Source organism: Homo sapiens, chromosome 3, assembly GCF_000001405.40.
Source record: "Homo sapiens chromosome 3, GRCh38.p14 Primary Assembly".
NCBI lineage: Eukaryota > Metazoa > Chordata > Mammalia > Primates > Hominidae > Homo > Homo sapiens.
Window position 1 is genome coordinate 145,702,501 of NC_000003.12, and position 14,878 is coordinate 145,717,378.

Sequence of the window (14,878 nt, forward strand, 5' to 3'; positions counted from 1 at the left end):
ACCAGGCTTACTAGGGATGTGCCAGGAGGTTTGACTGAATCTGAATTTGTTTTCTTTTCAAGATATTTTGTAGTATACATAGTAGTCGGTGCTCATGAAACATGATGAGAACCCTGACCCTGACCATGGCAGATGTTGCCTCCTCCACTGCTACTTCCCTGGCAGCCCAGAAGACATCACTCAACTCTCTCAGGAAGGTTGCTTCAGACAACAGAACTGCTCTAGACTTTCTTTCAGCCTAACTCGGAGGAGCGTGTGATTGACAACACCTTCCGCTCTACCTGGATAAATACCTCAGGTATTGTTGAAACACGAGTAGAGGTAATCTGAAAGCAGGCCTGCAGGCTGCAAAATGTGGGACCCTCTGACAGATCTTTCTTTCCCCTTTAGCTGTCTTTTTCAAACATACTTCCTGCTACAATTTGACCATTTTTGTTTCTTATCAAGCCAACTCTCAAACCACACCCTCATTATATACTTTTCAGACAAGGTTTAGATAACTAGTGATCATATGAGTCTGTTGAATTCACCATATATAGAAATTCTCCTGCAAAATTATTGAGTAGTGAGTTCAATAATGCATTCCTAACCTCCTGTACCTGTGAGTGACGTTATTGAAAATGGGGTCTTTCAGATGTGATTAAGTTAAGGATCTCAGAAGGAAAGCCTCCTGTATTTAGGGTAAATCCTAAGTCCAGTGACTGGACTTGTAAGAGAAAGAAGTGGAAGACTTGACTCACAGTGACACAGAGGAAAATCATGTGAAAATGGAGGTAGAGATTGGGGTGATACGTGTATAAGCTAAGAGACACCAAGGTTTGCCAGAAACTAAGAGAGAAACATGGAACAAATCGTTTCTCAGAGTCTCCTGAAGGAACCAATCCTGCTGACACCTTGATTTTAGAACTCTGGCTGAAATATGAGAGAATAAATTCTTTGTTTGCCCTTCCATATGCACTCTCCCCCGTTGTCCATACCTCTCTGGGCATCAGGACACTGACTTATATAAATCGCTGCAGATTCTTGCCCTCTGACCTAGGTGGAATGACAGCAGGATATACCAGGCTAAAAAGATAATAAGATCACATTCATTTCCCTGGATCTTCGTTGGGGAGAGTCGGGGAGGGCTCTGTAGGTGAGTTATATCCTTCTACCACAAACCACAATTTATTTAAGGCTGTTCATTTTGTTTAAATCAAAACCTCCATAGGGTACAAGCAACATAAAAGGAACATCCTCTTACCAACTACCACCACTATTCACTCAGCCACAATTTGTGGAGGTAATTCTTTTTTCCTCATTTAATCAAATCTTCTGCAGAGCCTATTGTTTTATTAGTTCCTCTCAGATAATGAAAAGCTGTCTAGTCATTCTGAGTGAAAAAAAGATATCATTTTAATAATTGAAGTCTCAATCTTGTATTAAGCATAATTTCTAAAATGGACCCCCATTTTAGATTTAGATTCCCACATAAATCTTGGAGACACTTGAAAATGATATCACTTCTGTATTTGTGTTATGTGATATGGCAGAGTTGACTTTAAGATAGGGAGATAATCAGGTTATTCCTGAACTAATCACATGAGCCCTTAAATCAAAGACTGTCCCAGGCTGAGGCAGAAGAGAAAGTCAGAGAAGGACTCATTGCTCTCTTGCTAGCTTTAAACATGGAGTGAGCCATATGAGAAGAAGTTGGTTGCTCTTAAGGAGATGAGTGAGGTCCCTGGCACACAGCCAGCAAGGAAATGGGGATTAAATTCTGCAACAACAAGGAACTGTACTCTGCCAAAAACAGGCATAAGCTTGGAAGAGGACTGCAAGTTCCAAATGCAATGTAGCTCTGGTCAGCACCTTGATTTTGGCCTTATGAGACTCTAAGGAGATAACCCAGTTAAGCAATGCTGAACTTCTAACATGGAAAACTGTGGTCTACTTAATTTATATTGTTTTAAGCCACTATGTTTGTGGTGATTTCTAATACTGTCATAGACAACTAATACAAACACAATATAATTAATGTTTGAAACCTAAATTTAAACCTGCTCTCCTCTCTTAGTGAGCATCTCTGAAAGACTACAAAGCAAAAATAAGGAATGGGGTGTTCTGTCTTCCTCCCTACTTCCCTACTTTGCACTGTTTCTTCACTACCTCTTTCTAGGCATGGTGTGTCATGCCTAGGGAAGAAGTACTGAAAGAAACAGAGGCAAGAAAGTTTTTACTTGACTAGTGCTGTCATTATCTGGTGGGGGATCTCTCTGAGCTTACGGATCCTTTAAAACTGATATTTCCTGGGCTTCATTGATGTTTAGTGTTGACTACTCTTTTTGAAAGCATGCCTATGGGTTTTGTTTTGTGCCATCTTGTTTGGTTTGGTTTGACTGAAACTTTATAATAGCCCTTTTTACTGACAGGTCCATGATGCAGACAGCGAACTCTCAACCAACCATCACATCCTACTCTCCTACTCCCCTAGAAATATCCTAAATGGTTTATACCCCAGAGACTCTTCCTTCTGGGTTACTTTGATTTAGCAGGCTTCCCATTGGGGCAGGGGTTTTCCTAAATGGTGTCAGCCTGGTTACATTCTGGGATGCTCATGTGGCCCAAAGGAAAGTCACACGGCCTGATCAGGCAGAATGGTGGGAATGAATCTGCTCCCGTGGAGTGCATCTTGCTTCTGCTTGGCCATCACAGAGAGGTACAGACAGACTTCTGCTTAGCGACATTTTCAAGTGTGAGTCACTTGCTGGTCTAGACTCTGGTAAATATCGAGCTCTCAAGTGGTCTTGTTGAAGAAGATGGGAGGGAGAAGAGTAGAGCCTTCCCATGAGAGATGGTGGTGGGATTCACAGAATACAGATGACTATCTTTAAATCAATTCTAGCATTCCTTCTGCTGTAGATTGAATGTTGGTATTCCCCCTCCCCCAAATTCATGTGTTGAAACCTGATACCCAAAGTGATGATATTTGGATGTGGGGCCTTTGGGAAGTAATTAAGTCATGAGGGTAGAACCCCCATGAATGGGATTAGTGTCCTTGTGAAAGAGACCCCAGAGAGCTCCCTTCCCCTTTCTGCCATGTGAAGACACAGTGAGAAGATGCTCATCATCTTAAAGACAGAGATTATGTTATTTTTAAAAGTAGGCACTGTTCATTAATCATCTTCCATGTGTCAGGCACTATGTAGAGATAGAATCTTTCTACCAGTACTGTGCAGTAGATATCATTATTCCTATTCAAAAGATAATAAAAACTGGAACATCAAAGTTAAGTAAATGCAGAAGACCACACATATTTTAAAATATTATAGCATTATAGCATCTGAATTCAGATTTATATCTGTCTTAACACTACAACCTATTTACTTTCTGTTAGGATAATTGCCTTATAAAAAGACATAATTAATGGATCCACCTTATAAATGTTTCAAATATTTTAATTGCAGCATTCTGTACTTTTGTAGTGTTCAGTTTTATTCCTATGATACTTTCACATTCATTACAGACAACTTCACCATAAACATGCAGAGTGTGAATTCTCCAGTACCTGCAATATTATATTTGCACTTTCTTCAACTGAAACATAGCAGCAGGACCACAATTTGTATTACCCTAAAGCTGCTGCTTCTACTTTATTGTCCCTCTCTAGTTGTCAAATATTAAAGACACGTATAAAATGTATGGTTGAAATTGCTCTGATAGTTTGTACACTGAAGACAATGACTACCTCTAGAACTATCTCTTAAGCCGCAAACACTACTCTCTCTCTCTGTCTCTCTGTCACACACACACACACACACACACACACACACTCCTTTTTTGTCACTTTCTTCTTAGAAAACTAAAGAGAACCCTTGAATGTTTTACTTCAAAATGAGATCAAATTATCTTAATAGACAAATAAATGAAAGAGAGAAAAATATTGATGTTCCTACTTTGACTGTAGCCACCACATAATTTTGTCAGTGACTAGTGAATCTTTTTGAAGTAGTGAGAGCTATTTGGAAGGATGATCCTATCTTATATAAATGCATTCAGCTTTCTTTTTATTCTTTTCAAAGCCTCAGATTGAAATCAACTCTGAATGAAGGTTAAAGGCCTTAGCTGTGATTTCAGACAGTCATAGTTGTTTACCTCCTAGCAGGTCCACTTATGAGCTACATAATTTGGTACAAATTACTTAGCTCTTCTTACTGAAAGTTAGAACAGTTAAGTAATTTGTAATAATTTCCTCTGTAATAAAGGAGGATTTAAATAAAAAAATCTCTTAAATCTTTCATTATCACAAAGAGATGTAAAGAGATAATGTAAGAAAATAAGAAAAAGTACACTAAACACTCAGCATGGTAGTTAATGCTAAGCACTTAAAAAATTGTAACTGTTATCATCATCATCATTATCATTATCATCATTGTATTAAAGAAAGAGGATGTCAAAGAAGGGGCATAGACTTTGGAATCAGAGTTGAAATGAGTTGGAATCCTGGCTGTGACAAAGTCTGACTTTGAACATGTTCTAACATTTACAATCTTTAGTTTCTGCCTTGTTAAATGATTTTGATGGTAGTATTTACTTTACCAGATTGTTGTGAGGATTAAAGATAATCTGTTTTAAGTGCCCAGCATGGCAACTTTGTAAAGTCTAACATATTACTCTCTTCAGTTCTGTAAGAAAAAATCCTGTTCAATACTTGGGCATACAAATGCATGAACATGCCTCTTAGAAGTTCAATAAAAGATTTTTTATTGAAAGGTTTCTTCAAGCAACTCATGGATAATTTGAATACCGATAAAATTATAGTATTGATTGTCATCAGGAGATTTTAGGTATGTGGCTTCAACACTACCTGTAAGAAAATGGCCAAACAAAATTTTACAGTATATTTTGTCTTTGACATTGCTGTGCTATATGACCAAATTGTTGTTATATGCAAAACTAACTAGAGGGTTACTCAATAATTCTCAATAGTTTTTCTTTTGTATTAGAAATATCTACTAACCATCACAATTGTTTAAAGAATCCAAAACAACCCCAAAAACTTAAATTTTAAAGTATTTATTATACAAATTAAACCTAGTAATTCACCGTTTTTTTTAAAAACCTTTAAACATGCTTAATTCACTCTTTTTGTTTTTAATTTTAAAACAAAATCACAAAATGTCCTACAGAAAGTCTGTGGTCCAGATCCATACAGAACAAAGCTATGTTTTGGGGTTAGTCTTAAATTTGCAATCTCTATGGTCCTATTAAAATATGAAAGATTGTATCATGATTCATATAGAGAGAATCAATTATAATTCTCATATACTCCTTCTTCCCACCTTTACCTTTATATCCATTTTTAATGTTCTATATATCTAGCTATTATATTAATATCTTAGCCAAGAGGTCAGATGTAGTTGAAAGATGTCAATATGAAAAATAAAATGAAAATCAGAAACATTTATCTTTTTACCATGTTAATCTAAATGTGATGTTTTACAGTTGTATAATGAGTTTATAGAAAAATTTTTAAAAACTAGCAACATATTTCATTTATGTCAAACAAATTAAAATCTTCATGACTTTTTTTTGCTTAAAAGAATCTTATGTGAGGTATTTTGCCAGATATGTTTTAAAAATCACAGATTAAAAAATTAAGTCACAAAACATTTGAAAACATTAAGATAATATAAACAACCTAAGTCAACAAGCTATTATGAAAATAAAGGTGAAGGGGAAAAGTAAAGACAATGTAAAATAAATTAAAGCTTTTAGAAAATTATTAGAAAACCAAACCTCAAATTCTTTATGACTAAAGCTATAGGTGGGCATTTCCTAATTCTTAAACATATAGAAAGACATATGAAATACTTCATTTTAAGCAAAAAGCATATTTTTCATAATGGAGCTAATGTCCCACTAAATGACTTTATTAGTGAAATAGCCTTTCCAAGGAAACATTAATTAACGTTATTAGTATGTTCTTTTCTGCATGTAAATCATGTGGGTATGAGAGAAATATATATCCTGAAGATGTTTTATATTCCTGTGTCCCCAAGTGAGGGCTTTGCCATGTAATGCTATTTCCCCAACACAGTAAATCTGATTTTCCAGTTACAATTTGAAATTACACCCAATTTTGTAAACAGATTCTTACATACTATTTTCAATAAAGATTCATTTTCTACCTTTCATAATTCAATAAGAAACAGTGGATTTGCCAAGAATTTTCTTTACATTTGGAAAGAAACCAACACTAGAAAAGGTTTAGCAGCTGGCACTAATGAAATGAAATTGAATCAACTCAATGAAATTGAATATATTCAATGAAAATAGGGCCACACAATAACATCAGGTGGTCTTCTTACAGAATTAATGTAATTTTGAAAATATGTTCCAGTGTTTATTATGTTTTGTTATTCTCACAATACCAAATGCCACTGAAAATTGGCATTCTTACTTTTTTCAGAGAAAATAAACCTTGGGACAATAGAACATAGCTCCTAGATTCAGGAATACTCTTAAGTCGTGGACTGGCTTATGCTTTCATTTCATGTCATTTTATTGAAATGCTCTTCAATACATTTGGCATGCAGTACCTGTCAGGCAGTAGGTGATAACTGATGGATAATATTATCTTTATTCCAGATACCAGCTAGGTAATTGTCCAGTTCATTATGGCTAAGCTGTTTTATACCAAAGAGTTCATAGTTGAAACACTCTTTTCAGGAAGGGTTTTTTTTTTTCTCAAGATCAAGAGACATACTGAAGGGCTGGCCTGCCCCTCCACACCTGTGGGTGTTTCTCATCAGGTGGGACGAGAGACTGAGAAAAGAAAGAGACACAGAGACAAAGTATAGAGAAAGAAAAGTGGGCCCGGGGGACCTGCGCTCAGCATACAGAGGACCTGTGCCAGCACAAGTCTCTTGAGTTCCCTCTGTATTTATTGATCATTATCTCTACCATCTCTGAGAGGGGGATGTGGCAGGACAATAGGGTAATAATGGGGAGAGGGTCAGCAGGAAAACATATGAACGAATGTCTCTGTATCATAAACAAGGTTAAGAAAAAAGTGCTGTGCTTTGATGTGCACATACATAAACATCTCAATGCATTAAAGAGCAGTATTGCCGCCAGCATGTCTCACCTCCAGCCCTAAGGCAGTTTTCTCCTATCTCAATAGATGGAATATACAATCGGGTTTTACACTGAGACATTCCATTGCCCAGGGACAAGCAGGAGACAGATGCCTTCCTCTTACCTCAACTGCAAAGAGGCCTTCCTCTTTTACTAATCCTCCTCAGCACAGACCCTTTACAGGTGTCAGGCTGGGGGACGGTCAGGTCTTTCCCTTCCCACAAGGCCATATTTCAGACTATCACATGGGAAGAAACCTTGGACAATACCTGGCTTTGCTAGGCAGAGGTCCCTGTGGACTTCCACAGTGTTTTGTGTCCCTGGGTACTTGAGATTAGGGAGTGGTAATGACTTTTAACAAGCATGCTGCCTTCAAGCATTTGTTTAACAAAGCACATCCTGCATAGCCCTAAATCCATTAAACCTTGATTCCACACAGCACATGTTTCTGAGAGCACAGGGTTGGGGGTAGGGTAACAGATAAACAGCATCTCAAGGCAGAAGAATTTTTCTTAGTACAGAACAAAATGGAGTCTCTTATGTCTACTTTTTTCTACATAGACACAGTAACAGTCTGATCTCTCTTTTCCCCACAACATACACTGGCAATATTAAGATATTTAAAAATTGTAAAATGAGATTCAGGTTTTTACTATCATTCAAGACTGCATTGGAAGCACTACATCTAAAGTAAACAAACATTATATCCATGGTCTCTGAAGAAGTGAAGATAATTTAACCTAGAAATCATCACGGACAAACCCTAGGAAGAGGATTTGTTTTCCCAAAAGGTAGAACAAAATAAACACCTCACATACATAATAATTTTACCTAGAGCCTATTTTCTCTATTTTTTCCCATTGTTAATGAATCTTTGTCGGGCCTCTGAGCCCAAGCTAAGCCATCATATCCCCTGTGACCTGCACATACACATCCAGATGGCCTGTTCCTGCCTTAACTGATGACATTGTCTTATGAAATTCCTTTTCCTGGCTCATCCTGGCTCAAAAAGCTCCCCTACTGAGCACCCTGTGACCCCCACTCCTGCCCACCAGAGAACACGCCCACTTTTTCCTTTACCTACCCAAATCCTATAAAACGGCCCCACCCCTATCTCCCTTCGCTGACATTCTTTTTGGACTCAGCCCGCCTGCACCCAGGTGAAATAAACAGCTTTATTGCTCACACAAAGCCTGTTCGGTGGTCTGTTCACACAGACGCACATGAAATTTGGTGCCATGACTCGGATCGGGGGACCTCCCTTGGGAGATCAATCCCCTGTCCTCCTGCTCTTTGCTCCATGAGAAAGGTCCACTTACGACCTCAGGTCCTCAGACTGACCAGCCCAAGAAACATCTCACCAATTTCAAATCCAGTAAGCGGCCTCTTTTTACTCTCTTCTCCAACCTCCCTCACTATCCCTCAACCTCTTTCTCCTTTCAATCTTGGCGCCACACTTCAATCTCTCCCTTCTCTTAATTTCAATTCCTTTCATTTTCTGGTAGAGACAAAGGAGACACGTTTTATCCGTGGACCCAAAACTCTGGCGCTGGTCACAGACTGGGAAGGCAGCCTTCCCTTGGTGTTTAATCATCGCAGGGACGCCTGTCTGATTATTCACCCACGTTTCAGAGGTGTCAGACCACGCAGGGACGCCTGCCTTGGTCCTTCATCCTTAGCAAGTCCTGCTTTTCTGGGGGAGGGGCAAGTACCCCAACCCCTTCTCTCCATGTCTCTACCCCTTCTCTGCTTTTCTAGGGGAAGGGCAAGAACCCCTCAACCCCTTCTCCTTCACCCTCAGCGGCAAGTCCTGCTTTTCTGGTGGAGGGACAAGTACCCCAACCTCATATCTCTGTGCCCCAATCCCTTATTTCCATGCCCCAACCTCGTTATTTCTGCGCCGCAACCCCTTTCCTGCTTTTCTGGAGGGTAAGAACCCCTGAACCACTTCCCTCCATGTCTGTACTCTCCCTTTTCTTTAAACTTGCCTCCTTCACTATAGGCAACCTTCCACCCTCCATTCCTCCTTCTTCTCCCTTAGCCTGTGCTCTCAAGAACTTAAAACCTCTTTAACTCACACCTGACCTAAAACCGAAATGCCTTATTTTATTCTGCAATGCCACTTGACCCCAATACAAACTCGACAGTGGTTCCAAATAGCCAGAAAACGGCCCTTTCAATTTCTCCGTCCTGCAAGATCTTAATAATTCTTGTCGTAAAATAGGCAAACAGTCTGAGGTGCCTGACGTCCAGGCATTCTTTTACACATCAGTCCCTCCCTAGTCTCTGTGCCCAATGCAACTCATCCCAAATCTTCCCTTCTTTCCCTCCCGCCTGTACCCTCAGTCCCAACCCAAAGCATCGCTGAGTCTTTCTAATCTTCCTTTTCTACAGACCCATCTGACCTCCCCCCTCCTCCCCAGGCTGCTCCTTACCAGGCCAAGCTAAGTCCCAATTCTTCCTCAGCCTCTGCACCTCAAGCCTATAATCTTTTTATCACCTCCCCTCCTCACACCCAGTCCGGCTTACGGTTTCGTTCTGTGAATAGCCCTCCCCACCTGCCCAGCAATTTCCTCTTAAAAAGGTGGCTGAAGCTAAAGGCATAGTCAAGGTTAATGCTCCTTTTTCTTTATCCAACCTCTCGCAAATCAGTGAGCATTTAGGCTCTTTCAACAAATATGAAAAACCCAGCCCAGTTCATGGCTCATTCAGCAGCAACCCTGAAACGCTTTACAGCCCTAGACCCTAAAAGGTCAAAAGGCCATCTTATTCTCAATATACGTTTTATTACCCAATCCGCTCCTGACATTAAATAAAACTCCAAAAATTAAATTCCGGCCCTCAAACCCCACAACAGCACTTAATTAACCTCACCTTCAAGGTGTACAATAATAGAGTAGAGGCAGCCAAGTAGCGACGTATCTCTGAGTTGCAATTCCTTGCTTCCACTGTGAGACAAACCCCAGCCACATCTCCAGCACACAAGAACTCCAAACGCCTGAACCACAGCTGCCAGGAGTTCCTCCAGAACCTCCTCCCCTAGGAGCTTGCTACAAGTGTTAGAAATCTGGCCACTAGGCCAAGGAATGCCCACAGCCCAGGATTCCTCCTAAGCCTTATCCCATCTGTGTGGGACCCCACTGAAAATCAGACTGTTCAACTCACCTGGCAGCCACTCCCAGAGCCCCTGGAACTCTGGCCCAAGGCTCTCTGACTGACTGCTACCCAGATCTTCTTGGCTTAGCAGCTGAAGACTGACACTGCCCGATCACCTTGGAAGCCTACAGGACCATTACAGATGCTCTAGGTAACTCTCACAGTGGAAAGTAAGTCCGTCCCCTTCTTAATCAATACAGAGGCTACCCACCCCACATTACCTTCTTTTCAAAGGCCTGTTTCCCTTGCTTCCATAACTGTTGTGGGTATTGATGGTCAGGCTTCTAAAGCTCTTAAAACTCCCCAACTCTGGTGCCAACTTAGACAATACTCTTTTAAGCACTCCTTTTTAGTTATCCCCACCTGCCCAGCTCCCTTATTAGGCCAAGACATTTTAACTAAATTATCTGCTTCCCTGACTGTTCCTAAACTACAGCCACACCTCATTGCTGCCCTTTTCCCTAGTTCAAAGCCTCCTTCGCATCCTCCTCTCATATCCCCCCACCTTAACCCACAAGTATAAGATACCTCTATTCCCTCCTTGGCAACCGATCATGCACCCCTTACAATCTCATTAAAACCTAATCACCCTTACCCCCCTCAATGCCAATATCCCATCCCACAGCATGCTTTAAAAAGATTAAAGCCTGTTATCACTCGACTGCTACAGCATGGCCTTTTACAGCCTATAAACTCCCCTTACAATTCCCCCTTTCACCTGTCCTAAAACCAGCCAAGGCTTACAGGTTAGATCAGAATCTGCACCTTATCAACCAAATTGTTTTGCCTATCCACCCCATGGTGCCAAACCCATATACTCTCCTATCCTCAGTACCTCCCTCTACAACCCATTATTCTGTTCTGGATCTCAAACATGCTTTCTTTACTATTCCTTTGCACCCTTCATCCCAGCCTCTCTTCGTTTTCACTTAGACTGACCCTGACACCCATTAGGCTCAGCAAATTACCCGGGCTGTACTGCCGCAAGGCTTCACAGACAGCCCCCATTACTTCAGTCAAGCCCAAATTTCATCCTCATCTGTTACCTATCTTGGCATAATTCTCATAAAAACACTCGTGCTCTCCCTGCTGATTGTGTCCCATTAATCTCCCAAACCTCAATCCCTTACAAAACAACAACTCCTTTCCTTCCTAGGCATGGTTAGTGTGGTCAGAATTCTTACACAAGAGCCAGGACCACACCCTGTAGCCTTTCTGTCCAAACAACTTGACCTTACTGTTTTAGCCTAGCCTTCATGTCTGCATGCAGCTGCTGCCACTGCTTTAATACTTTTAGAGGCCTTAAAAATCACAAACTATGCTCAACTCACGCTCTACATTTCTCATAACTTCCAAAATCTATTTTCTTCCTCACACCTGACGTATATACTTTCTGCTCCCTGGCTCCTTCAGCTGTACTCACTCTTTGTTAAGTCCCACAATTACCACTGTTCCTGGCCCGGACTTCAATCCGGCTTCCCACATTATTCCTGATACCACACCTGACCCCCATGACTGTATCTCTCTGATCCACCTGACATTCACCCAATTTCCCCGTATTTCCTTCTTTCCTGTTCCTCACACTGATCACGCTTGATTTATTGATGGCAGTTCCACCAGGCCTAATGGCCACACACCAGCAAAGGCAGGCTATGCTATAGTACAAGCCACTAGGCCACCTCTTAGAACCTCTCATTTTCTTTCCATTGTAGAAATCTATCCTCAAGGAAATCACTTCTCAGTGTTCCATCTGCTATTCTACTACTCCTCAAGGATTATTCAGGCCCCCTTCCTTCCCTACACATCAAGCTGGAGGATTTGCCCCCACCCAGGACTGGCAAATTAGCTTTACTCAACATGCCCTGAGTCAGATAACTAAAATACCTCTTGGTCAAGGTAGACACTTTCACTGGATAGGTAGAGGCCTTTCCTACAGGGTCTGAGAAGGCCACCGCAGTCATTTCTTCCCTTCTGTCAGACATAATTCCTCAGTTTAGCCTTCCCACCACTATACAGTCTGATAACAGACCAGCCTTTATTAGTCAAATCAGCCAAGCAGTTTTTCAGGCTCTTAGTATTCAGTGAAACCTTTATATCCCTTACGGTCCTCCATCTTCAGAAAAAGTAGAATAGACTAAAGGTCTTTTAAAAACACACCTCACCAAGCTCAGCCACCAACTTGAAAAGGACTGGACAATACTTTTACCACTTTCCCTTCTCAGAACTCAGACCTGTCCTCAGGTTGCTACAGGGTACAGCCCATTTGAGTTCTTGTATAGACGCTCCTTTTTATTAGGCCCCAGTCTCATTCCAGACACCAGACCAACTTGGACTGTGCCCCGAAAAATTTGCCATCCCTACTATCTTCTCTCTAGTCATACTCCTATTCACTGTTCTCAACTATTCATATATGCCCTGCTCTTGTTTACACTGCCAGTTTATACTGTTTCTCCAAGCTATCACAGATGATATCTCCTGGTGCTATCCCCAAACCGCCACTCTTAACTCTTATAGTAAATAAATAATCTTTGCTGGCAAGGCTATGCTGAACCTCCTTAGGCACTCTCTAATTAGATGTCCTAGGTCCTCCCAATTCTTAGTCCTTTAATACCTGTTTTTCTCCTTCTCTTATTCCGTTTAGTTTTTCAATTCATACAAAACTGTATCCAGGCCATCACCAATAATTCTAAATGACAATTGTTTCTTCTAACAACCCCACAATATCACCCTTACCACGAAATCTTCCTTCAGCTTAATCTCTCCCACTTTAGGTTCCCACGCTGCCCCTAATCCCGCTGGAAGCAGCCCTGAGAAACATCGCCTATTATCTCTCCATACCACCCCCCAAAATTTTCGCCGTCCCAACACTTTACCACTATTTCATTTTATTTTTCTCATTAATATAAGAAGACAGGAATGTCAGGCCTCTGAGCCCAAGCTAAGCCATTGTATCCCCTGTGACCTGCACGTACACATCCAGATGGCCGGTTCCTGCCTTAACTGATGACATTCCACCACAAAAGAAGTGAAAATGGCCTGTTCCTGCCTTAACTGATGACATTGTCTTGTGAAATTCCTTTTCCTGGCTCATCCTGGCTCAAAAAGCTCCCCTACTGAGCACCTTGTGGCCCCCACTCCTGCCCACCAGAGAACAACCCCCCTTTTTCCTTTACCTACCCATATCCTATAAAATGGCCTCACCCCTATCTCCTTTCACTGACTCTCTTTTCGGACTCAGCCCGCCTGCACCCAGGTGAAATAAACAGCTTTATTGCTCACAGAAAGCCTGTTTGGTGGTCTCTTCACACGGACGTGCATGAAAATCTTCAAATAATTTTCAGATCTCAGAAAATCCTGATAGCCCAGCCACATGACAAAATGTTCCCAAAACATAGTAATTTGAAATAGCAAAATCATTTCTTTTTATCACAACTCTGAAATTTGGGAAGGTTTGACAGGGACAACTCTTCTGTGCTCCCATACAGGGTCCACTGGGGGTGACTCAAAAAGGGGCTGGAGGATCCACTTTCAAGTTGAAATACTTATAGCTGATGATACTTATGCTGCTTGGCAGGGAAGATTCAGACGGGGCCACTAACCTCAGTTCTTCTCCACCTGGGCCTCTCCTTGAGCTGCTGTGCTTTCCTGGGACATGGTGGTCATGTTCCTAAAGTGTCCCAAAAGAACCAGGCAGAAACAAATCACGTTTCATGGTTTGGCCTCTGAAGTCACAAAGTGCCACTTTCATCACAGTATAACAGCCCGTCCAAATCCAAGGAAAAGGAACATGTACCAAGATTTTAAATAAATAAGTACCACATTTACCCTGTATTCAGATCATGTGGGATGGGAGATGTTTTGGCAGCCATTTTCAGAAAAGAGTATGTCACAGTTTATCTCCTGACCACAAAAATTTAGGTCCCTCCCATGTGTAGAATATATTCTCCTTTCCCATGAGGTCTATCCCATTACAACATCAGACTGAAGTCTACAATCTGTCATTTAATCAAGTACAGATGGGGATCAAGCTTTTGTGGACCTTTTACCCAGATACAGCTTTTCAAATACCATTTATCTTGACCTGAATAACAGAGAATTCAAAAAGATAAATTATTTACCCCACCACACATATACAGTGCCAGGATAGGCCTCAGGGATAGGATAACTGTTATAAGCTCTATATTCAAAGAGAAGGAAATTTGAAGAACACAACAGTTATCAGTATATTAAAAATATGAAATAAAGACAGGCACATATTGCCAGTTACTTGATTAAGACTTGAGTTTATTTCCTCTGAATTGTTCTCTATAGCTCTTTTCTCCACGGAGTCCAAAGCAACTTTTTATTTTGTACTGTCTCTGGTATTTCCAAGTCTCTTTGATAAGTTCAAGCTGTTGCAATTTCTTCAAATACTTTTGGGATTTTTGCCTATTGGTTTATAACCCACTCTGTTAGATAAAACCTACATCCATACTTTAAGGTAAGTCCTTTTCTACCTTGTTATCTACATTAACTTTCTGTGGGGCAATGGCATGAAGGTTCCTAGAAGGCTTGTTGTTTAATAGACAGAGTTTGCAAGACATGCTCATAAATCTCTGTGAGG

General features: G+C 40.8%; 1 annotated feature.

Moving 5' to 3' along the window:
• Window positions 7,036–7,857: an enhancer, noted in NCBI's record as "OCT4-NANOG-H3K27ac hESC enhancer chr3:145427323-145428144 (GRCh37/hg19 assembly coordinates)". NCBI's record gives its function as "activates a minimal SCP1, AML or CMV promoter by ChIP-STARR-seq in naive H9 embryonic stem cells {active_cell/tissue: H9 hESC(naive)}" and the evidence as "EXISTENCE:reporter gene assay evidence [ECO:0000049][PMID:30033119]".